General features: G+C 38.9%; 1 long non-coding RNA gene across 1 annotated transcript in view; it reads right to left on the bottom strand.

Moving 5' to 3' along the window:
* Positions 1 to 20,444: 20,444 nt before the first annotated feature.
* The window catches only part of LOC646736 (uncharacterized), a 37,269-nt gene continuing 34,336 nt past the window's right edge, over positions 20,445 to 23,377 (bottom strand). The window contains exons 6-7 of the long non-coding RNA NR_046102.1: positions 21,374 to 21,472; positions 20,445 to 20,707 (exon numbers count right to left, since the gene is read on the bottom strand). This is a non-coding gene — a long non-coding RNA (uncharacterized LOC646736). The remainder of the gene's footprint in view (positions 20,708 to 21,373; positions 21,473 to 23,377) is intronic.

Here is a 23,377-nt window from a genome sequence, read left to right as displayed (position 1 = left end):
CTTCTAAATGAAAAATTACTGTCTGACTGCAACTTACGGTCTCTGAAATTCCCACTGGAAATGCTACCAGGGTATGTGGATAGAGTGATGCCTGGAGAAAAACACATGAGAAATTGCCTTGAGTTATTCTGGAGCAAAATGACACTTGTGTTTGAAATGGAGAAGAGGTTGCTTTCTTGCTCAATCCCTAGGCTCCAAGTAAATTATACCCTCTATCTGAAGATTCACCATAGGGTTCACACTGACCTGGAAAAGCCATGGGGAAAGAGAAATAATGGTGTAAAAGCCAACTCATGAAATGAGTCTTTCATTCCCAAAATGAGTGTGCAGTTGAAATCAGGGTAATATGAATATCAGGGTCACAGCATGGCATAAGGAGGCTATGTGGAAACGCAAGGGCAGAATGACCTGCTTTGCCTTGGTGATGGCAAGTAGATTAATCTTAGGCTGCTTTGGCAATACATTGTGATGATGAGACCTTCTTCTCTACTGGCTATCTCCTCAAGGTGTCCCTTAGTCCTCTGTTTCTATGGAGTTCCCAAAGGCTCTGGGTTCAGGTTCACAATCCAATTCCTACACCCTTGTTGTAAGTAGCCACAGGGAGTAGAGCAAGAGAGATTTTAAGGACTGATTAGTTACTATTTGATTCCAAGTCTTTCAATTACTCCAACCCACAGTTGATCTCATTCCATCTCCCCCAACCCACTATTGAAGATTCAGTTTCTAGAACCACTTCTTCAGCCCTGTAGAGGGAGTTTGAACTAGCTTCAACTGTGTCCAGAGTAGTTAAGCATTGCCATCCTTTTTCTCTGGGAAGCTCCTCAAGGCAGTGAATTAAATCCCAGACCTCCACCCTGATTTCGAGTTATCTTTTATCTCAAGCTCTAAATTTCCATGACCTGTCCAATACACTAGGTATACCAGGTCCAAAGACTTTCCTGGATTTTTCCGTTTAAATATTAAGAGGAATCTCAAATGTAAAATGTTCCAAACTGAAATAATGATTTATCATGCTCCAAACTCAATCTCCCTATCTGTTCACTTTCATTATTGGTGGTAATTCCCCTCTCCTCAATCAGCTAAACCAGAAATAGTAGTATTTTCTTTGATTCCTACTTCCAAACTTTGTTCTTTATGTGACTTAGTCACCAACTCTTGGTAATTCTTACTCTATCCTGTTTCTCCCATTGATTCGTGTGGTCATGTCCCTCCTCTGCTACTGAAATCTGTGTTTCTGCTCTGCTCACCCTGCCCCCAGCCTTGTCTCATTCCTTATTCTGCTGGTGAAGTCACAAATAGAATGATTAAAGTCTTTCAGTGTCCCCCGATTGCCTCAGGATAAAATTCCTTTTCCTTAGCATAGCATGAAAGGCTTTTCTGATCTGATTCCTGTCTCTGTTCCACAGGATATCTCTTGTTCTACTCACCCATTCCCTTCACATTAATGCCTTGACAACGCTAAACTTCTTGGGTTGTTGCAGCAAACCAAGCTGTGTAACGCCTCTGTGCTTTGTTTGTGTTCTCCACTGTAAAGCCTTCTCTTCAGTCCACCTAGAAGATATCTAATCCTTCCTCAAAGGCTATTCAGGCTTCATCTTCTTGTGGGTCTGTCCCACACACAGAATCCCTAAGACAATCTAATCTTATTGTCCCACTATGTCATTTTCTTATGTCTTGTTTACTTCTCGGTCCACTGTAATCTGGCTTGTGCTTTCACTATTCCTCTGAAACTACTCTTGCCCAAACCCAAAATGACGTTCAATTTGTCAAATCCAATGGGCCCTTTTTGGAGCTTAGCTTACTTGGCACAACTGCTGTTTGATACTGTGAATTATGTCCTTGTCTGGGAGATCTTTCTACACGAATTGGGTTGTTAGACCTCCCATGCTCCTGATTTCCCTCTCTCTCTCTGACCAATCCTCTGTCTAATTTCCCTCTGTTTACTCTCTTTAATTTGTAGTGTTTCTTGGGTTACATTCTTAGCCTACCAACTTACTTATCTCTGTGATCTTACCCACTTTTATAAATCTTAGACTTATAAACCAACAGCCTATTAAACTTTTTCATCCAAAAGCCCAAAAAGAATTTCCAATCCAACATTCTCAAAACTGAACTCATCTTTGCCCTCTAAGACCTGATTTGCTCTTCTGTTCCTTTAGTTTGTGAAACAAAATTCTGTCTAATAATCTGAAATAGAAACTCAAGATTTTTCTTGATTTCTCACATTTTCAGAATCCCTAATCAATCACAAAGTCTTATGGATTTTTCCCCAAATATTTGTTGACTCTGTTGTGCCATTCTATTCTGTATTGCTTCTTTTTAGACTACTATGCAGACTTATAATTGGATATGTGCTCTTCCTATACTTGTTCAATCCCTCCTCCCCATAGCTGCCAGAGTAATATCTTCCCAGCATATAATTGTCTATGTAACTCCCTTGCTGATATGGTTTGGCTCTGTGTCCCCACCCAAATCTCATCTCGAATTGTAATCCCCACATGTCAGATGAGGGGCCTGGTGGGAGGTGACTGGATCATAGGGGCGAATTTATCCCTCGCTGTTCTCATGATAGTGAGTGAGTTCTCATGAGATCTGAAGGTTTAAAAACATGACACTACCCCCTTTGCTCTCTCTCCTGCTACCACGTAAAATGTGCCTTGTTTCCCTGTTGCCTTCTGCCATGATTATAAGTTTCCTGAGGCCTCCCCAGCCATGTGGAACTGTGAGTCAATTAAACCTCTTTTCCTTATAAGTTACTCAGTCTCAGGTAGTATCTTTATAGCAGTGTGAAAATGGACTAATCCACTGCCTAAGCCTTTTCAAGAATTTCCTCTTACCTACAAGACTGAAGTCCATGCTTACTAACAGCTCCAATATAACTTGATCCCTATCATGCTTTATGTTTTCTCTTTTTACCATCTACTTTGCACTTAATCAGCATCCACACTGACCCACTTATAATTATCATGCCCAACATGATGTTCCTTGCTTTTATGTTTTTGCTAAGTATCAATACTTCTCCCTGGAATGCTAATTCTCACATGTGTAAAATTTCTGTTTATCCTGGAAGAGTGAAAGTTTCTCTGCCTCTCACTTTTACTTCAACTCCTATGACATATAACTACAGATTGAGTTATTTTATTCGCTTCTTTGCTCCATGTTCTTTTCCTCCATAGGAGACTCATTTCAGGCCCATCTCTTCTCTCCTAAGATCTGGCTTCTGAAATTATCCCTTGCTATTGTCCACCTCCATTAGATATTTCCCTTCAGCTTCCAAATGTGTTCTTCCTTTTCAAGTGTTTTTAAAGTCTTTCCTTGATTCTACTCTCATCTCTTTTCTTTCTTTTATCATCCACAAAAGAAAGAAGAGTAGGCTACATCTGCTGCTTCAATTATGTCACCTTCTACTTCTTCAGTCTATTGTAATGTCATTTCAAATAGCAGCACATAATTGAAATTGCTGTCTCTAAGTAACCAATACTCTGCTGACTTTAAAGTCAAGGATTGTATTGTCCTTATCCTATACAATCCCTCTGAAGTAATTGTGCTTAATGCACATTTCTCTTCTCTGAAAATCTTTTTAATGTTGTTAATCTACAGTGCACCATTTTACTTTTCCTCCTGTATCTACTAACATTCCTTCTCCTACTTTTCCACTTATTCCTCTTCTGTTTTCCTCATATGCAGGAATGTCCTAAAGGAACAATCCACTTTCCTTTTCTCATTTTTTTTCTTATGTTGTAGCTTCAATCATCTCTTCTTTATCGATAGAACCCAAATGCATATTTTAAAACTTATCTCTTTTCCTCTTCTACATTTCAGATCTATCTATCTATCTATCTATCTATCTATCTATCTATCTATCTATTTTTTTTGAGACATAGTCTTGCTCTGTCACTAAGGCTGGAGTGCAGTGGCATGAACTCAACTCACTGCAATCTCTTCGGCCTGGGTTCAAGCAATTCTCCTGCCTCAGCCTCCTGAGTAGCTGGGATTACAGGCACCTGCCACCATGCCTGGCTATTTTTTTGTAGTTTTTAGAAGAGGTGGAGTTTCACCATCTTGGCCAGGCTGGTCTTGAACTCCTGACCTCGTGATCCACCTGTCTCAGCCTCCCAAAGTGCTGGGATTACAGGAGTGAGCCACCACACCCAGCCCAGATCTATATTTCTAATGACCTGTTGGACATCTCTTGAATTGAGAAAGTATGAAAAGGGACTTAATAAATCCTTATCTTGTTCCTTTCTTGAATGACCTATTCTCTTGTGTCCCCCATATTGATCATGTTTTGGAGCCTTAAACTCATCTTAAAATAGTCTTTTTTCCTCATCTTCCATACCCAGGTGATCTCTCAGTACTTCCAATCCTATCTCCATATAGCCGTTTCCTCTTTTTTGTTCCTGTTGTCATGACACTGGTCCACAATCTCTCTTTTAAGGTTTTTAACTAGATGCCTCATTGGTGTCTCTTGTCTCCAGTCCATTCTCTATGTTGCCATCATTACTCTTTCTAAAAGCTTAGGTCTGTCTACACCATTTTCCTACACACAAATCTGCTTTCTTCTCAGATTGCTAATAAAATAAGATTAAAATATGTTTTAAAAATTGTAAAACCCTCCTTAGTTCATGGATTAGCATTATCATATTTTGGATCAATCTCTTTTTCCAGACTTCATTTTTCCAACCATACCTCAAAATTATTAAAACACTAGTTGTAGAGAAATCTGCACTCCCATGTTTATTGCAGCATCATTCACAATAGCTAAAATATGGAATCAACCTCAGTGCCCATTAATGGATTAATGGATAAAGAAAATGTGATACATACACACAATGGAATATTATTCAGCCATTAAGAAGAACGAAATCCTGTCATTTGCAGCAACACAGATGGAACTGGAGGCCATTATGTTACATGAAATAAGTCAAGCCAGAAAGACAAAGATTGTTCTCATTCATATGTGGGAGCCAAAAAGTGGATCTTATGGTGGTGAAAATAGAGAATAGATTGGTGGTTACCAGAGAGTATGGGGAAATGGGGAAAAGCCTAACAGTTCTGGAAGTTGACCTGCACAACTCCATGTTATCTATTTAGAAATAATGATTAAGCACTTGCTCTAAGCTGGATTCTATGCTATGTACCAAAGATATAAAGATGAATAAGATGAAAACTTCTCGTAATTTTCACAGTCCTAGTGCAGAAAAATAATAAAATATAGTGTGTTAGATGCTATGCTAGAGGAAATACAGGATTCTGAAGTATATACAATAAGGCACCTTGCCTCATGCTTATAATAATTAAACACTTGCTCTATGCTGGATTCTAGGCTATGTACCAAAGATATAAAGAATAATAAGACAAAAACTGTGGAGGTTGCAGTGAGCTAAGACCATGACACTGCACTCCGTCTCAAAAAAAAAAAAAAAAATCCTATTTCTATTGGGAAGAATTATTCTGGTTGCAGTGTGAAGGATAAAATGGAAAGGCAGGACCAGAGGAACTGAAAATGTTTAGAAACTGTTGCTAAAATTCTTAAAAGCAGATTCTTTGTTACATGAACAGAGAAATGTGAACTGACTTAGAAAACAGGCATACAAAATGATTTCATGATTGCTTTATTGTCAATGATACAAAATTAAGTAGAATGGATGATGGCCGGTGCCAATGGGTAGGGGTTATACTGCCTGGAGCTCAGAAAAGAGATCAGGAATGAAGATGCAGATTTGAGATTCATTAGCATATAGGTTTAGCTGTAGTTATGGAAGGAGATGAGATCACTCAGAGAGGGTCTGTAGAGTGAGTACAGTATCTAAGACAGGACCTGCAGAAATGCCAATATTTTAAGCATTGTCAAAAGAAGAGGACTAGGTGGTCCTAGGAAACTCAGAGAAGCCATTGAAATTAGAAAAAGTTGGAAATGTCAAATGCAGCCAATGGTAGAAATGGGAGTTACATTTTAAGAAATTGGAGTTAGTCTTGAGGATATAATTTGTGAGTTTGGTGAGAGCACTTTCAGTGGAAGGGTGAGATGGAAGCTACGTTGCTTTCTTCATTTACCTATTGTTAGGTCCACCCCTTGGATGGGCCACCTTGGCAGCAGCCCTACCCTTGCCTTTGGCACTGGATGTAGGGAGTTACAGAGACCACGGGCCACTACACTTTACTCCTCTCTTGGAGCATTATTACAAGGCAACTTTGACATTTCTGCCTCTATTGATGTGCAAAGTATCCTATAAAAGATGGCAGCAGCAAGGCTTCCTTTCAAGTGCGATTATCTTGGGCTCCCTGCCATTGAGGGTTGGCACAGACCCTCTTCTATCTCCACTTTGTTGAAGTTCTATTCATTTTCAAGAGGCAGGTCAAATGTTACTTCCTCCTAAAAACATCCTCACTTCAACAGAGAATTATCATTCTTCTGGGTTCTCAGAACGATAAATGCTTTTATAAATTCAAATTTATTTGTATAAATTCAAAAAGCATTTAAAACATTTTTGCTTCACAGTTACTTACGTAGCTCTGTCTTCCCCTGTTTGTATCCATGATTTTATCTGGTGAGATGAGGTGTTTAATCCTTGTTTATGGAATTGAAGTGTTTACGTGCCATGGTTTGCCTGATCACAATAAATTATTTTGAAAGTTCAGACTTAGTTTTTCAAGAGGGAGAACTACATTTTCACAGGGGAAAAAAAATCTATGAGACAGGTGAAATCACTTTTGCTCCGTTTCATAGTATGAATACCTCTTCAGGTATAGCTCTGAAGTTGGACCTCTAGTCTTTGTATGTGAGAAAGACCTAGTGAATACTTTCTTGAATAGGGGGGAGCAAGTTAGACTCAATACTTAATATTTTGTGACTATAGTCTGTGGGCAGCATTCTGAAAAATGCACAGTAATCTTGGGTCTGCCTGTAAATTAGGTCTGCTTTAGACAGTCAGCTATATCGATAAAACAAATAAGTGACTTGCTATTAGGGGTGATGGTCTACTTTGCAATCTTCACCTTCAAGGACATATTGGAGCTGAGTAAGTCATAAAATTTTGGTCCTAAGGAAATAAATTCTAAGCTTGTGACTAAATGAGGTTTATGTTTCCTGCTGATATTATGCCTTTTAAAAATGTAATTTTATTTGTATGGTCTCAAACCTGGAAGAGTCATGTTTGATACTTTCAGCTGATTATTGCCAATGCGATGTTGAATTTGTGACATGTTTTCTCTGTAGTAGGGAAATATTTGAAATATGTATCAATTCTCAAGTCTCAAATGAATTATCAGGGTCCTTGAATGTAATGAAATCTGAATACCAGTGAGAAATATGTGACTTTACAAAGTAGGCTTAGCCTTAAAGAAATCATGAATTTCTGAACTTTTTTCTTTCTTTCCAAAATACTGCCTTTCTATGAGCAAACTGATACTTGGCAGAAGAATTGATGAAAATAAGTAATACTGGAAAGTGCTAAGAACTCTTGAAAGTGCCCATGCTTTAATTGTTATTTGACCCCATTCCTCTTCCCACCAGACAGAGCATATAGTAAATGACGTATATCAAATGCGTAGCTGTAATTCATCAATTAGGTAGACTTATAATGCTGCATTTTCAAACTCAATGAAAATGCCCAAGCTGATCAATATCTCAGTCAGTAGAATCGGTGCTAATATAATAGAGTGTTTTTTTTTTCTTTGAGTATATTTATGGAAGCAGAGTAAGGAGTAAACTTTATTTCTTATGATGGTGGGGGTAGGGTATCCTCACAGATGCAAAAGGAGACATGAACAGAATTTATATTCTGTATTTTAGAGTGTGTGTGCATGCGTGTGAATGAGAAAGAGAGTTATTAAAATGGTTTAAATATCCTCAAGTGTTACACAAGGAGGAGAGTGTCGTTGAAAAACAAATACTTGTTTTCTTGTTAGAATTATAATCATGTATTTTAATGAATGAGTTCTCTGTCATTAATGTCTTTAGGCTAATATTAAGCAAAACTGTAATGAAGTGAAATCAGTTTTTCAAGCTAACAGTGAAATTTTGCTTATATCTTTTTACAATAGAAAGTAGCAATAGATATTTTGGCATTTGAAAACAGTTCATTGAGAGTTCTCCATGAATAAATAATATTTTTTTCCTTTGTCTAAATTCACTGCCAAAATATTTGGGACTGGACACCTGGGGCACCTGATTCCTCTTTGAGTGCAGGCCTCCTTCTCAATTCATGTAGTGTTGACCCAATAAATTCTGTCTGTTACTGTCAGAACCCACATCCATCCAAAGTCAAAGAGAAAAACCTTGATGTTTGTGTCTACAGCTTCACTTCCTGCTTCATGGACCCCACTCTGAGGTGCCCTCTTAAAGCTCCATTCTTTCATGAGGCTGAGGCATTCCTGATTTCCTGTACCACCCTTCTCTGTACTTCAGATCAATTTCAGTCAGTTAGGGCTCATTGTGATTTTTATTTACGGGTACCTTTCTAACATTTCTGCATTTTTTCCAGGCTCTGATAGGTATGTGTATAGCTCTATCCCTATTAGAGGATTTCCAGGCATCAGTGTCTAGGGGAGAAAGCAACAGTCTCTTCCTGGCCCGTAGAAGTCATGGGCCCACGCTTTAACCACACAAGCCTGTCTTCACTCCCAGGCCTATGATGGACGTTCAAGTCCCTGTGACCTAAAACCACCAGCAGCTCTTTTCTTCTTTAACTTTTGGTCCTTTCATAGTCCAGATTTCTTCAAAGAACTTTAATAGCTTCTCTGATCTGTGGCCTATACATTACATAAACATCTTTCTCTACATGTACAGATATAAACCCTTTTATATATTTCTTGGAAAGAGCAATCCATTTTTACTTTATTTGTTCCCATTATTCAAACTTAGATGTGTTCTATGGGACAAACCAACCACTAGAGCCAATGTGGACTGAATAATAGGGTCTTTTCTCCTGTTTTAAAATATGTGCACACCATTTTTATGGGCTTCACCTCTGTTACCATTGGGCACCCAATTCTGCTGAAGCCACAGTTATTTTGCAAGTCAGCGAGGACTTCTCCAGCACTGGGTTGGAGTTACATTGGTAACTTTGCTCTAAATTCCCCCTTTAATGGAAAAAAATATGGATAGAAGGCAGAGAAGCATAAATCTTGCAAGTTGCTTTTCCGTGACCAGCCAGAACCAGCCCTAAATGAAGACACTGTATGCTGCTGGCGGCTGTAATCTCTTCATTCCTATTTCAATAAGTGTCCGACAGCCAGAGAAGCATTAGAAGGTAAAAGGGGATCAACCAGTTGTTAATCCAGTTGTGACTTTGGTTTGGGGTTCATTTCTTCAAACAGCCAAGTTGTGTGTTGTTCTGTGATTGAGTGCTTTTGTCCTGACAGAACTTTTCATTTTGTACCTTTCACCATTGTTTTTGGCCACGGACCAAGCCTCACATCTTCTGGTCACAGAATTCCTTTCTGCAGACTCCAGTGTAGGCCAAGGCCTCCGGGTAACATGAGACGCCTCCATTTCCCAGTAGACAGCACATTAAAGTGAGGTCTGTTGACCAGCTGCAGAGACAGGTGTTATTCTCTTTTAATTCACACCACCCCCATTTATTTGTCCTAAGAATTCCTCTTACAGTGTTGTTCACAAATGCTGAAGGAATTGGGCAGATTTTATAGGTGGTGGAGTCTGGGATTAAGGTGCTTCACCTGCTTGGTAGTTTAGCTTCATGAACAATACTTCCAGATTTAGCACACATTCTTTTTGTTGTTGTTTTTGTTTGCCCTCTATTGATGGGCAAGAAGAGGCACAGTGCCGCTCAAAAGTCCACCACACAATGTGTTTACCAACTCAGATTCCATCTTCGCTCTTTGAAGAAGGCTGACTCATGCTGCTTTCTGAGAAACTGGAGAAGAAAAGTAAATGCTATGATCATTGTCCCTTTTTCATCCATATAGCAGAGCCATGAAAACCTGCACTGATTGAGTCCTATCAGATTTAAAGTTGGTAGGCCTAATCCAGATCATTTTTTATAGCTCTATTATGTAGATGGAACAGGATCAAATATCACAGTGTTTACTGCAGACTTTGCTGTTGTTTCAAATATGACTTTGAAGAGTCCTATGATTTTCATTGGAGAAGGAGCTTACAGGATGCGTGAGAGTCCAAGATGTGGTCTATCTGGTAGAGATCACCATGTTCCACTCTTACCTCTCCTAACTGGGCAACTCTCCTTCTAAGTTGCATGAGTTTGTTTGTCTTCCTGATCTGAAATTTAGCCGTAAAAAGGCCTCTTTGAGTGGCCTCAACATTGTTTCAGAAACAACCTCCAACCCTCTGGGTCTATTTGCATAGGCTTGGCTTATTGCTTTTTCTATGCCTGAATGTGCTTCCATCTTTCCTTCTTCAAGGCCCAGCTTCTTAAATGCCTGCTCAGATAGGAGCTTCAGTGATATGCAGAGGCATCAGTGACATCTGTTCAAGGGCCTTTCTTTTCTTTCCATTATTTTTCATTTAAATCCATTATCCTGTAAACTCCGAGAGGACAGGAAAAGTGTCTTCTGACCCAACCTTGTGATACCTCTGTCAGCAGTAACTATTTATTAAATAAATGAGAATATAATTTTCCAGCTCTGGAGATATGTCTTGCATTTAGTTTGACACAGTCACAAGTGCAAAAGGCTGATTTCATTATTTTATTACAGTGTCTCTCTTTCAGGATAGTTGACTGGCAGGATTTGAGGTGGATAGCAATATTTATTAGACCAAAGGCTATTTAATGCAAATTTCTATGTCATTAGCACAATATATTAATTTATTTGATTTAGGTAATGTGTAAGTAAATGCTATATATCCAGAGAAACTATGATATTAACAAAGTGACTATGAGTTCATATAATTTCTTTGTAACATTAAGAATTGTCTCTTTTAAGATGTTTGGATGTGACATAGGCAAAACAGGAGATAATATCCAGCTCCCTATCTTCCAGAATTCCCAGAAGCTGATTTTTAAAGAAAATCAGCACGTTCTTCATTTAAATGCCTGAAGGCTGTTGCATCTATGGACTCTTCCTCCCTTCCTTCAGGCAGGAAATCAGATGAGCAGACTTCATAAGTGGCCTCCTACCTTACCATTACTTGTGACTCTCTGAAGAGACCTGGGCCATTGCTATGTTTGCAAATCCAGTTCTGCCCAACACAAACTACATTCCAACCGTAAACATGATAAGGCATGCAATATTCATTTGATGTTCTTCCAGGCCTTGGTGTCTTTGCATGTGACATTTCCTCTGCCCGAGCTGCTTCCTGGCCTCTTCTTTTCCCTGTCGTCACCCAGTGAATCACAACTTTTCTTGTAGCCCTAAAAATCAAGCACCTTCTTATTTGAGATAACTTCCCACCTTTTCTAAGCAGAGCTGGCTACTTCCTTCCTACTTGGTTTCTTGCCCACACCCCATTTTATAATGCGTCGTGTGATCTTTCTTCTAATCTTTGTTGGCTTTGGAGTGTTTGTTTTATACATAGGCCATGAGTTCCTTGAAGGTGAGAACTGTATCTTACTCACCTTTGTGCATCTAAGGCTTTCTTCACACCTTTCCCTCCCAAACTTCCTCCCCTGCTCTGTCTTGCAGAGTCCAAGACTCTGTAGGTGCTCAACTAATTTTGGTTAAATGAATGATTGAATAAATATGTGAGAAGTGAAGAAAATCATACTGATAATTGGTCTTGAAAGGTTTGGGAGGATAAAGACAGCCTCTAAACTCTGGGAAGGGGTCAACGAATGAAGGATAAAGAAGGGTCCAAACTTTAGGGACTCATTCTCTTGGACATAGTACAAATTGGTTACAATGGACTCATCAGACCTTTCATGTAATTTTTTCTTTCCCATCTATTTATTACTACTGTGTTCAGAAGAGGCACAAGATAAGTAGACAGTGTGGACAATTACTAGTATGACATCCTCCCCACTTCCCAGCAACTGGTCATCATGAACAGTTTTATGCAATGTTTTATATCTGCAAGTAAAATAAGTTTTACCTCTGCTTCAAAATAAAATCAGGCTTAATACACTGCTGCACCAAGATAAATATTAAAGAGTATTGTATTTGTCTTACTGTATGGAAAGTGGTGATTTTTGATCATGTGGTCTTTCTGGGCTGATCTGTTTCATTCCTTCTGTTCTCAACCTCTGTGCATATTTACTGAGCTGTGGGCAAACAGTCTGGTAAGATTCTGAGTACTTTTTAAAATCCTCAAAACAACCAATTAAGAAAGATGCTATTAAATCCCAGTTTTACAGGGGAAGAAACTGAGGCTCAGAGAGGTTAAGTATCTTACCCAAAGGGCACACAGCTGTTAAGAGGCAAAACTGAAATTAGAGCCCATTCAGTCTGGGTTGAGTCTGTGCTTTTAACTACCATGATAAACGGTCTCTTCTTCAGAAGTTGACCCTGTACTGTGTGAAGAAAAATTTATTTACAGGGATGAAAACTGGGCAGCTGGTTCAAAGGATCCCTTGGAACTACTCCATAGAAGGATAAAGAGTAGAGACAAATAACAAGCTCACTTGTAGTTTTAGACCCTGGTAAACTTTTGGATGCTCCTGCAATTTCATACTTCAAATGAAATAACTGAATATTTCCTGAAGTAAGTAACCAGCTCTATAACTTGGCAGAAATCTCTGACTCCACTTAACTCACGCAGAGGGCCATGACATGCAGCCTAAGTGCCCAGGAATTTTAAATCAAGATGTATCTATGTAGTGAAACTTTGTGTGCGTGTGAGTGTGTGTGTGTGTGTGTGTGTGTGTGTGTGTGGTTGTTTTACCCTTTGCTTCCTGCTTGGAAAAAAAAAGGTAAATATTTAAAGTTATCTACAAATTGTATTTTTTCCCTAGAATGCAAGAGTCACAGAGATAAACGTTAGCTGTCAGAAAAGCTGCAAATCATCTGAGATGAAGGTGGTGCTTTTTTATTACAGTATCTGAGAAGAAAAGCTTTCAGAGTGAAATTCAGTAATCCCTCGCTTCTGATTCCATGTCTACTGAGATGTTCAAATTTGAGTGCGGCCCTTGGTAAAGCACTGATTGCTGAAAGGTAGCTCTGTCCCATGGGAGGATTTGGAATGAGATCTAGTAGAAATTTTCATTCAAGTTGAATAGAAAACAGAAAAGTGAGTGTTCTATGGAAAGCAGAAGTCTGGCAATGATGGATTTGCCCTGTGAATGAAAGTCTAGGAATGTGTGTCCTTCCCACAGTTGGTTTATTAAGAAAGTCCTGCAAGTTAATATCACAGTATGTGTTTGAATACAGGTATAAATTTCTTGAGAGTCCACAAATCAACTATCAGTGGAAATCCTGATACCCACCAAATGATGTTTTTACATCTATGTATTCATCAATCTAATAATTTTCTAAGAGATAGCAGTGTGTCTATTCTATTGAGTAGAATACTATTGTTTTTCTTTTTTTTTTTTTTCTTTTTTCTTTTTTTGAGATGAATTCTCTCTCTGTCACCTAGGCTGGAGTGCAGTGGCACAATCCCGGCTCACTGCAACCTCTGCCTCCTGGGTTCAAGTGATTGTCCTACCTCAGACTCCCAAGTAGCTGGGAATACAGGCATGCATCACCACACCCAGCTAATTTTTGTATTTTTAGCAGAGACAGGGTTTCACCATGTTGGCCAGGCTGGTCTTGAGCTCAGGTGATCCTGACCTCAGGTGATCCGCCCTCCTCCGCCTCCCAAAGTGTTGGGATTACAGGCGTGAGCCACCGTGCCCAGGCTGTTTATCTTTTATTTGTAAATTTAGATATTTCTGAAGACAATATTAATTTACAGGGAAGTCATTATCCTTCTTCCTAGAATATGCCTGCATAAATCTATGGCATGAAATGCACACATTTCCGACAGGATTCTTTTAATAATACTCTCTCATTTTACAATATTCCCTGACACCATAGCATGACTGGATGAATTATTCTCCAGACATAGCCTAATTTCCAATAGTCATATTTCTTAAATATTTTTGAAATTATTTTTAATAGAAATTTGTAAGATTATCAAATTCAGTATTTTATTGATGGACAAAATTTTACCTGAATTGTCTTAAAAGTGCCACTTTTTATTTCTAAAAGCAACAGAAAATGAAAGGCATTCATTTTATAACTCCCTAGTGTGGATCCTTCTCCTGTTAACAAACTCAAATTTTTAGGAAGCTTCAATTCTTCCAATTCCACTTTAATGCCATTTTTTCTCTCATTCTGTTTTCGGAGGCAATGAAGAACAGCTGGTCACCATTCTCTGCAATAATAACCTTCATATAGTTGAAACCCAAATGGTTTTGGACATGGTACTTACAAAAACATCTCCTTGCAAATGATGTAGCCTATTTGGTATTTCCCCTGTAAACAGCTAGATTCCTTATAGCCAACCCTTCCAGCAACTATCAAATTTTAGCTCTGTTTAGTATAATGCAAGCATTTTCTGCTTTGTCTATTCAGGAATGTCTTCCTAGGAGGTTTCACAATAAAATTTATTGTGTTTCATTTATGACGTACAATGTAAGAAGAATGGAATGCTTTTCTGTTAGGATTTGCATTGATAATGAAAGGTTACTATAGTGCTGGTCTGCTTTGACCAAATTTGCCAAATTCTGAAGAGAATGCCAATTAGAAGGCTGTAATGCTTTTCACTGAAACAGACTGAGGCCAATACCTGGTGGTGGGGACCTGTCATTGTTGGCCAGACTCTATTTTTAATTGGGAGAGAAGGCAAATGCTAGATCAAACAGTGTTTACTAAGTGATACCAATAATTCCAAGTCATAGCCACACCCCAAAAAGCTGAGGAAGTGACTAAGTCCTTCTGAGGTCGTCTTTTCTATTAGTAGCAATGTAGCCAAAAGTCTGAAAACGCTCACATTTTGCTCTCTTTAGGAAAAGACAACATTGATTTTAGAGGTTTTTGTTATGGAGGCCAGGGGGATTTTTCCAGTGCAGCACAGAGAAATCTGGGTTTGGATTGGGAAGCCAGACATTTCTTGGCTTACATTTCCTACTTGAATGGGATTCGTTTGCCCCCTCCTCACCTCTCCCCAACCCCCAGGCAGCTAGAAGCCCCACCTCCTTGCTTGGACCATATGGGGAAGCTGGCTCGGTGGCTGTTATTCTACTGACTCCAAGTTCACGCAGCTGTTCATCCCCTGCTTAATGTACTGGTAATTACAGCAATGTGCTCTTCTCTTTCCAATCATGTAACTTTTACTAATGGAAAATGATTTGTTTTTAACAACTTCCATGCATTTCTTTCTCGTTTTAATAAGAAAGGGTGTCTTGTGGCATTGAGCTATTGAATTCTCTATAAAAAACAAAAGTCTCTATATGAGTTTCCAGCTCCATAGGAGGGCTCTGTGGGATTGGCCAAAGGTGGTGGGGAGACTTAAGTGAGTGTAACTAACTTGATATGAATAGGTCAGTTGGGAAACAAAGCAAGCTCATCGCCTTCTGATCATGGAGGTGGTGAAATAACATTTTTTAAAAATGTGAAACCGGGAAGGATCAGAAGTATGAATTGAGTTCTGCTTTCATGATCCAAACTCTATGTACTCTCAGAGAATTTTTAAAACAAATATCTGAAGAGGTTTTCACTTATTTTCATTCAATGTTTCAGAGCATGTAAATGTTCTCCTTTGATGAGAAATGTTGATGATTTGGGTTGGGTGGGGGTTGAAATGATTATAGCAAGTGCGTCTTTTGCTGTAGCCATGCTAAGCTACCAGGCACAGATCAAACAGGCATGTGGTCACATGATCGTTTTATTTGCAGATAAAATACAGACACCTTGGAATTTCCTTCCTTATATCCCCTAAATGGCACTGGAAATCACTCTAAAAGGATAATTTTTAAAGCAAAACTTTTCCAACTCATTAGAGGATTTCAGTTTTAGACTTTTATTTTAAATAAGTGGTTGAGTAGCAGTTGTAACAAAGAATGCCAAGTCACACCCTTGTGTGTGGATGGAAATACTGCTACACAACACACATAGCTAATTTTATCAGAAGGATGATAGCAAAAGGAATGTCTTCTCTACATGAAAACTCAAAAGTCAAGAGCATTGACGAGATGACAAACCATGATTGCGAAGCCTATTTGCCACATCTTGACATTTTAAAGATTCATATAATTCAAGATTTAGCTAAAATTGTAAAATACATATCCTGAGCTCAAAATTCTTTGATGTTAACATGTATCCATATCTTTTAAAGACATTAATTTTATTCCTTGTGCATTTCTTTTCTTCTATTCGTGGTTAATAATGACATGGCAGCCGGAAATCACCTATCTTCTCCTCAGCCCTTCTTATCTAGCTCCCTCCAGAAGTCTTGTTTTTTCTTAGAGATTTCTTTGGAAATGTTATTAAGCTAGAGTGAAGTAATTTTTAAAAACACACATTGAAACTTAGAACTGAATAATTTTTAAATATTTGTAATAACTTTAGCAAAACCATTGCTTTCCTCAAGAACCACAAGACCACACCAGCAGCAAAGAGGCACTATTGTTCCCCTGGAGTCTTGAGAAGCTCCTCGTGTGACAAACTCCAGCAAAGGGGGTCTGTGCTTCGCTCCTCCATAAATGCAACACCAAGTCTAGATCTGATTTTGCCCTCTAGGAATTCTTGTGCCTTGCTTTATGCAAAGCAAAAATTATGTTTAATATTTTAAAACTAGCTTCAGGAATTAGGATCTTCAGAGTTAGTGGTCTGACTCTAGTCATGTGCATGTCTTACATCATCTTCTATTTTTTCAGATGGTTGCATCAGTAGCTTTGGGAATATTTTATTTTTAAAGTTTTAAGTCATTCTGATATCCACGAGACCATCAAAAATATAACTATGATCTAATGAATGCCCAAATAAGTGGTTGCATAAATAACAACTACTTATCATGTTCACTTTCCCCGTTATTCATTTATTCATTCAGTATTAATTGAACAACTCGTATGTGCCAGGCATATTCCAGGGACCAAGGATTCAGTAGTGAATACAAAATCGTAGCTTTATAAAGGTAGTAGTTCAGTAAGAGGAGATAAACAAATAAAATATATAAGTAAAAAAAAGTTAAATAGCAATGAGCTCTAAGGATAAAAAGCACTGTAAAGGGACAGAATATGATGACAGAGTTTCAATTTTACATGGAGTAAAAGAGAAGACCTCAATATGTGACTTTTGAGCACACAAGGGAAGGAAGTAAGATAAAAGCTTTGTAGATATTTGAGGGAAAAACTGTCCAAGCAAAGAGTACAGCAAGAGCAAAGGTCCTAGGGATCGTGAATGTAGAGTGTTCAAGAGTACCAAGGAGGTCAGTGTGCCCGGAGTACAGATAGTAGGAGATAAGTTTAGAGAAGTGAAGGAAGCCAGATCTTACAAAGCCATAGTTTATTATAAGGACTTTGGCTTTTACTTTGAGATGGGGGAGGCTGCTAGGGATTTTTGAACAGAAAAATGACAGAATCTTGTATAACTTTTAACAAAATAATCCTGGCTGTTATGTTGAGAGTTGATTTAAGGGCGGCAAGGGAAGAAGCAGGGAGACAGTTTAGAAGGCTATTATAATAAGCCAGGCAACGGGACAAAGGGTAAAGGTGGAGAGAGTAGATATAAATGGACTTCCTATTATATAGCAGGCACTATGTTAGGCTTTGTTGATACATCAGGGGGAAAACAGAGGCTCTGTTCCCAGGGCCTTTGCATTCTACTGAGAGGAGCCAGGCAATCAACAAATAAGCCAGTGCATACATAAAATATCAGGTGATGATAAGTTATATGGAGAGAAACCCTAACCTGTTCCAAAGTTCATTATGGCAAACACCTAGAAACAAACACAGTCCTATATAGTGGGGGCTGGAGAAGAAAAGTGTGGCATATTCAAAGAGAGACTATTACGTAGCAATGAAAATGAATGACTTTAACTACATGCAACATTGCAGATGGATCATAGCAATATAATAGGAATACAAAATAAGTTATTATATATTTAAAACATTACATTTTTCATAAAGCCAAACACACGCAACCCAAACTAATACTTTTAAAGAAATACAAATAGATGTGTGAACATATATCAAATGAAGTCAGGAACATTGTTAATACAAGATTTGGGGTAGTAGTTGTCTTGAATGAGGAGTGGCAAAGAAATTCTTGGGATACTCACATGGGTTTCTGTGAGTGTTCTAGCTTCATGTTGGGTGTTGGGTTATTGGATTTAATTATATTATTTGCAGGGAAGGAAGAATGGAAGGAAGGAAGGAAGGGAGGGAGGGAGGAAAGAAGGAAGGAAGGAAGGGAGGGAGGAAAGAAGGAAGGAAGGGAGGGAGGAGGGAGTGAGGAAGGGAGAGAGGGAGGGAGGAAAGAAGGAAAAAAGGAAGGAAGGGAGGGTGGGAATTTTACAGGGTTAACCACTATGGATAATAATTCATCTAATTGTGTTTCCCTGTGGTGTAGGGTTGGGAAAAGTTATGGAGTATTTGCTTTTATATATATAAATTTGCCAGGGAAATCCTGTCTAAGGAAATGACATTTGAGCAGAAGCATGAATGGATTGGAGAAGTGGTTGGAGGAACAAGGAGAAACTCCTGGCTGGAGTGGAGTGAGCAAAAAGAAAGCAGCAGGAGGTGAAGTCAGGGAGAGCAGGAACAGGTCATCTTGACCTTTATAAGCTGTGAGGAACTCTGACTTATACTCCAGTGGACACTAAAAACAACTGAGAGGTTCTGACCAGAGGAGTAACATTATCTGCTGTAAATGTTAAAAGGATTGTTCCTGCTGCAGTGTGGGAATACACCAGGGTTTCTCTGCACAACTGACATTTTGGACTGGATGATTCCTTGTTGTAACAGAGATTCCTCTGCATTGTAGGATGTTTACCAGCACCCCTGGCTTCTCCCTAATAAAGCTATAATGTCACCCCCTACCCCCTAGTTATGACAACAAAAACTGTCTCCAGACATTGCCAAATGGGGGGCAAAGTCATTCTGCTTGAGCACCACTGGAATGTGCTAAAGGTGGCAAAAGACAGAATCAGGGAGAGGGGGTAGGAGGATGTTGCTGCATCCACCAGAAACAATGGCTGGGACTAGGGCAGAAAGGCTCTCTTTTCTAAACACACGTATTCATAGCTTGGGTCTGTAGCCCCATGGCTGGAATCTCTACAATTTGAGGATATTCAGAAATTCCCAACGATGAGTTGTTAAATATTCATTTACACTCATATATTTCCCAAGTGCTATAGAAATGGGGTACATTTGAGCATGAAATAATCCATATGGTTATTCCTTAAGGACTAGATCCAAATTGTCCACTTCTTTACCTCTTGGCTTTGTCCAAGCTGACAACTGATTCTTTGATTTGCATCCAGGTGAGTTCCTTGAAGCCCTGAACCGAGGACTTCTTGTGTACTTTAACATTTGTTATATCTGAAGATATTCTGATTGGCAACATTTTTAACATAGAGAACTGTTTAAAGAAAATACCGCCAGCACACAACTCATCCACAAATTGCTGTTTTTGAAAAAGATGGAGAGGCTGTGACTGAGATCATCAGAGAACCAGCCCGGCACCCCAAACATAATAGGGCAAAGGAGTCAGATGAGAATTTTGTTCAGTATGAGACACTGGACAACAAGACAGGACCCTTGACCTCAGAAATGCAGGAATTCAGGAATATTATAGAACATGAAGTAGCAGAGCCGTGGAGGAGAATTTATAGCACTAATCTTGAGCACTTTCCCCCGAGGACTCTGCGCTGTTTTCACAAAGGCCTCTCGGAATGCCAGGCTGTGAAAGGTAGAAATGTAAACACGGGGACAGGAGTGTCCTTCAGTCTAAAGAGTGAGCCACGCAGGTTTCTAGTTGCCAGCATTCCAGTAGTGGTACTGGGAAATGGTTTTATAGGATAAACAAATCACCCAAATGCAGAAAATGCAATTCCACTGAAGCAAATCCAACTTCCTTTCCTGACGGAGAATGTAATTAAATCCTGCTTCAGGAGGACGGTTTATATCCTCTGCTGCTGGGGGTCTCGGCTCATGCTCATCGCTGGTGTTTACAAGATGACATTACCTGCCTCCTGTGACATGCTGAGGCAGCCCTGACTTTGAAGATGGGGCGGTGGTGCATGTGAGGGAAGGGGGATGAGTGAGGCTGTGTTTCATTTGCAGAGCTTGGCTGTTCATCTCTCACATTCACATCTGACACCAGAAGCCCACACCATGCTTGGCTTTTCCAAAACAGTGATTCTAATGTAACACCCTAATAAGCTGTGTTAACTCACCTTTCAGAAGGAGGCTGGGGGGACATACATCACAACAAGTTGAGAGGAAGGGGTGATTGTAACAATATTAAATATAATTATCACCAGCAGAAGTTCTATGAGATGAAGTGAATGAATCACAGCTCATGATGTCTTCAAAATACAATTAAAAGTGCAATTTTACTTTATTTATTTAGTTATTCCTTGTATTTTAAAAGTTGAGTCACTGGCAGTAATCTCATCATGTCCTAAATTAAAAAAATCTAAGAGGTTCATGAATTTGCTACTCATTTTTGGTCCTGCAGTCACTTTGTAACACACAATCTCTATTTGGAACATAGAATGTCCTGTCCAAGATATTAATCAAAACTCAAGCTTGTTGTGATATCAACTATCACATCTTCTCCCTTCTCAGTTTGGATCTGCTTCTCCCTGGAAATAGACAAAGGGAAAGGGCTGTGGGAGTAGAGCTTGAGAGGCACCTGATTTCCTTTCTATCTTTTACACTGTGATCCTTATCCTCCCTCTAACAGCAGCTCACCAGACAGTGTCTGTCATTCAGATCCTGGCAGCGGGGAGACAGAGGAAAAGCCTTATTTGAACTGGACCTTCCTTATCAGGCTTCTCATTTTCAGGGTTCAACAGATGGCTAAGGTTGATGTTTCTGCTCGAGAGTCATCTTCATGGATTTGCAGAAGACCCCACTCCTGAAATCCCTTTCACCTGGGCCGATGCATCTAATTATGATGGTAGATTGAAAGCTTTTCAGCTCCCAGGGACACAGCATTCATTTCCATCTTCTCCTGTGGGGATCCCTGGCCCATCTAGTTGGATTTCTTAGAAGGACTTAAGGGCTCTACATTGGTTCTCTCTCCCACATAAAACAAGGAAGGGAGCATATTTGCTCCTTTATTCCAGCACTCTGAAGTGCAGGCAGGCCCTCCCCAAGGCAGTGACCCCTACCCCTCTACCTGAAGCCACTATGCCTTTGGCAGTCATGAGTCAAGCTGAGCCCATATTTCCCACACATTCCATGGCCCTCTGAATCATTACGTAGTCACTCCTCACTAGACTTGGGATGGAATGGGGTACCACTACCTGTGGAAGAAGAATGACACCATGGCCAGTAACAGCTCTCTCCCAAGGCATCTCTCCACTGTGCTCTCTTTCCCTCTCCTCTGTAAATACTTTTATAGCCTTGAAAAAAAGGAGGAGACATAAGAATTATGCAATAGTTTTTTTTTAACCTTTGTAAAATCTGTTTATAGTAAACTCTCTCATACACATCTTGTTATCTGATGTTAATTATTGGAACCTCATTCAAAGCTATGTTAGAAAGAGCCCCATTTAAGCTTCTCTTAAATTTATAAAAGAAAATTGTTCATAAATTAAATTATAAGGAAAAGAAAGTTGATTTTCTATATTCTTCCATGTTTGATCTTTCCACATGGTCATGGAAACCACCTCACGCCTCTTAATTTTTTAGTTCTTTTGACAGAAAACACAGAAACTATGGTTCCCAACACCATAGGGCAGTACTACCACAGTCTCCACCACCTCAAGCAATAGACTTTCCAACCTCTTCTCTCCATTAAACTTCTCTATTACCAGACTCTTACTAAATTATCTTACTAAAGATAGTTTTTGAATGTCTCTCTTGTGCTAAGAATTGTAGAGTTCTGGTGGCAGAAGATGACAGAGAGTTTTTTTTCTTTTTGTCCTAGAAGAATTTATAGTTTATTCTAGTTCTTTCCATTGGAATCTGAAACAATATACAAAAACAGTGCAATAGTTTTTTTCAATACATTTTGATCAATGTGGAAATACATTTTTGTAACAGTTGAGGATTCATACTGTATATTATAACGTTGGTCAGAATAACTGAGTCTGATGATTGAGTTGGGAGACGCATGGTGGGGCACGGAAGAATGTGCCCCTTTAGGTCAGAGGTAAGCTGGTGCCACCAAAAGGAACTTTGTTTATCACAATCCACTAGAACTTTTAATTTCTTTGTGTTTGTATTTTCTTTCATAGGACAAGGTCAGGGAAATAAGCATTTCTACTCAAACTCCCAAATAGTACTGAAAGAATACCAAATGAATAGGACTATAATGGTATATTTTAAACATTTTTTTCAAAAGAATTGGCATTTACCTTTTAACTCCTTCAATGTCACCCTAAGCTCTAGTGCTAGTAACTCAGAAAATTTAACAACCACTGATCCATTCACTATTAAAGAAAATGTTATAAACTCATTTGGACTGAGGTGTTAATTGTTATTTTTAAGGTTAATGGTTATTAGTTGTTCTTGATCTTCTAGGATAACATTTGCATTTTAGGCTTTAAAAAAAATCCCAAATGTCCTTAAACCTGAAGGACTTGGTTAGATAAATATTTTGGGGAATGATGGCAAAGCCTGCTGTGGCAATTTTTTGATAGGGTGAATACCAGTACTGGCTGATCCTCCCACTCAAGAAACACACTTAAATCCAGTGTTGGCTTTGGGAATGCTGAGAAAACATTGGCTTTGGGAATAGAGAAAGAAAACATCAGTAGAAAAATGAAAAACAGAAGTGATTTGAAGGACAGCTTTAGGCTTCACCATATTCTGTACCCATTAAATAACTCCCCATTTTTCCCTACTCCCAGTCCCTGACAACCACCATTTTAATTTCTATTTTTATGAATTTGACTAATCTAGATAACTTCATGTAATTAAAATCATACAACTTTTACCTTTTTGTGATTGTCTTATTTTATTTAGCATAATGTCATTAAGATATATCCATGTTTAACCCATGCCAGAATTTTCTTCCTTTTTAAGGCTGAATAGTATTTCGTTATGTGTATACACCACATTTTGTTTATTCATTCAGCTATGGATAGAAACTTGGGTTGCTTTTATTTTTCGCTATTGTAGACAGTGCTGCCGTGAGCATGGGTATGCAAATATCTCTTCAGGATCCTGCTTTCAATTCTTCTGGATAAATATAAAGAAGTGAGATTGCTGGATCACATGACAATTCTACTTTTTATTTTTTGAGGAACTTCCATACTGTTTTTCACAGTGTCTGCACAATTTTACATTCCCACCAACAGTGT

The sequence above is a fragment of the Homo sapiens genome, chromosome 2, assembly GCF_000001405.40.
Source record: "Homo sapiens chromosome 2, GRCh38.p14 Primary Assembly".
Classification (NCBI taxonomy): Eukaryota; Metazoa; Chordata; class Mammalia; order Primates; family Hominidae; genus Homo; species Homo sapiens.
The sequence above is the reverse complement of the archived record's forward strand: the minus strand, read 5'-3'. Positions and strand labels throughout refer to the sequence as shown.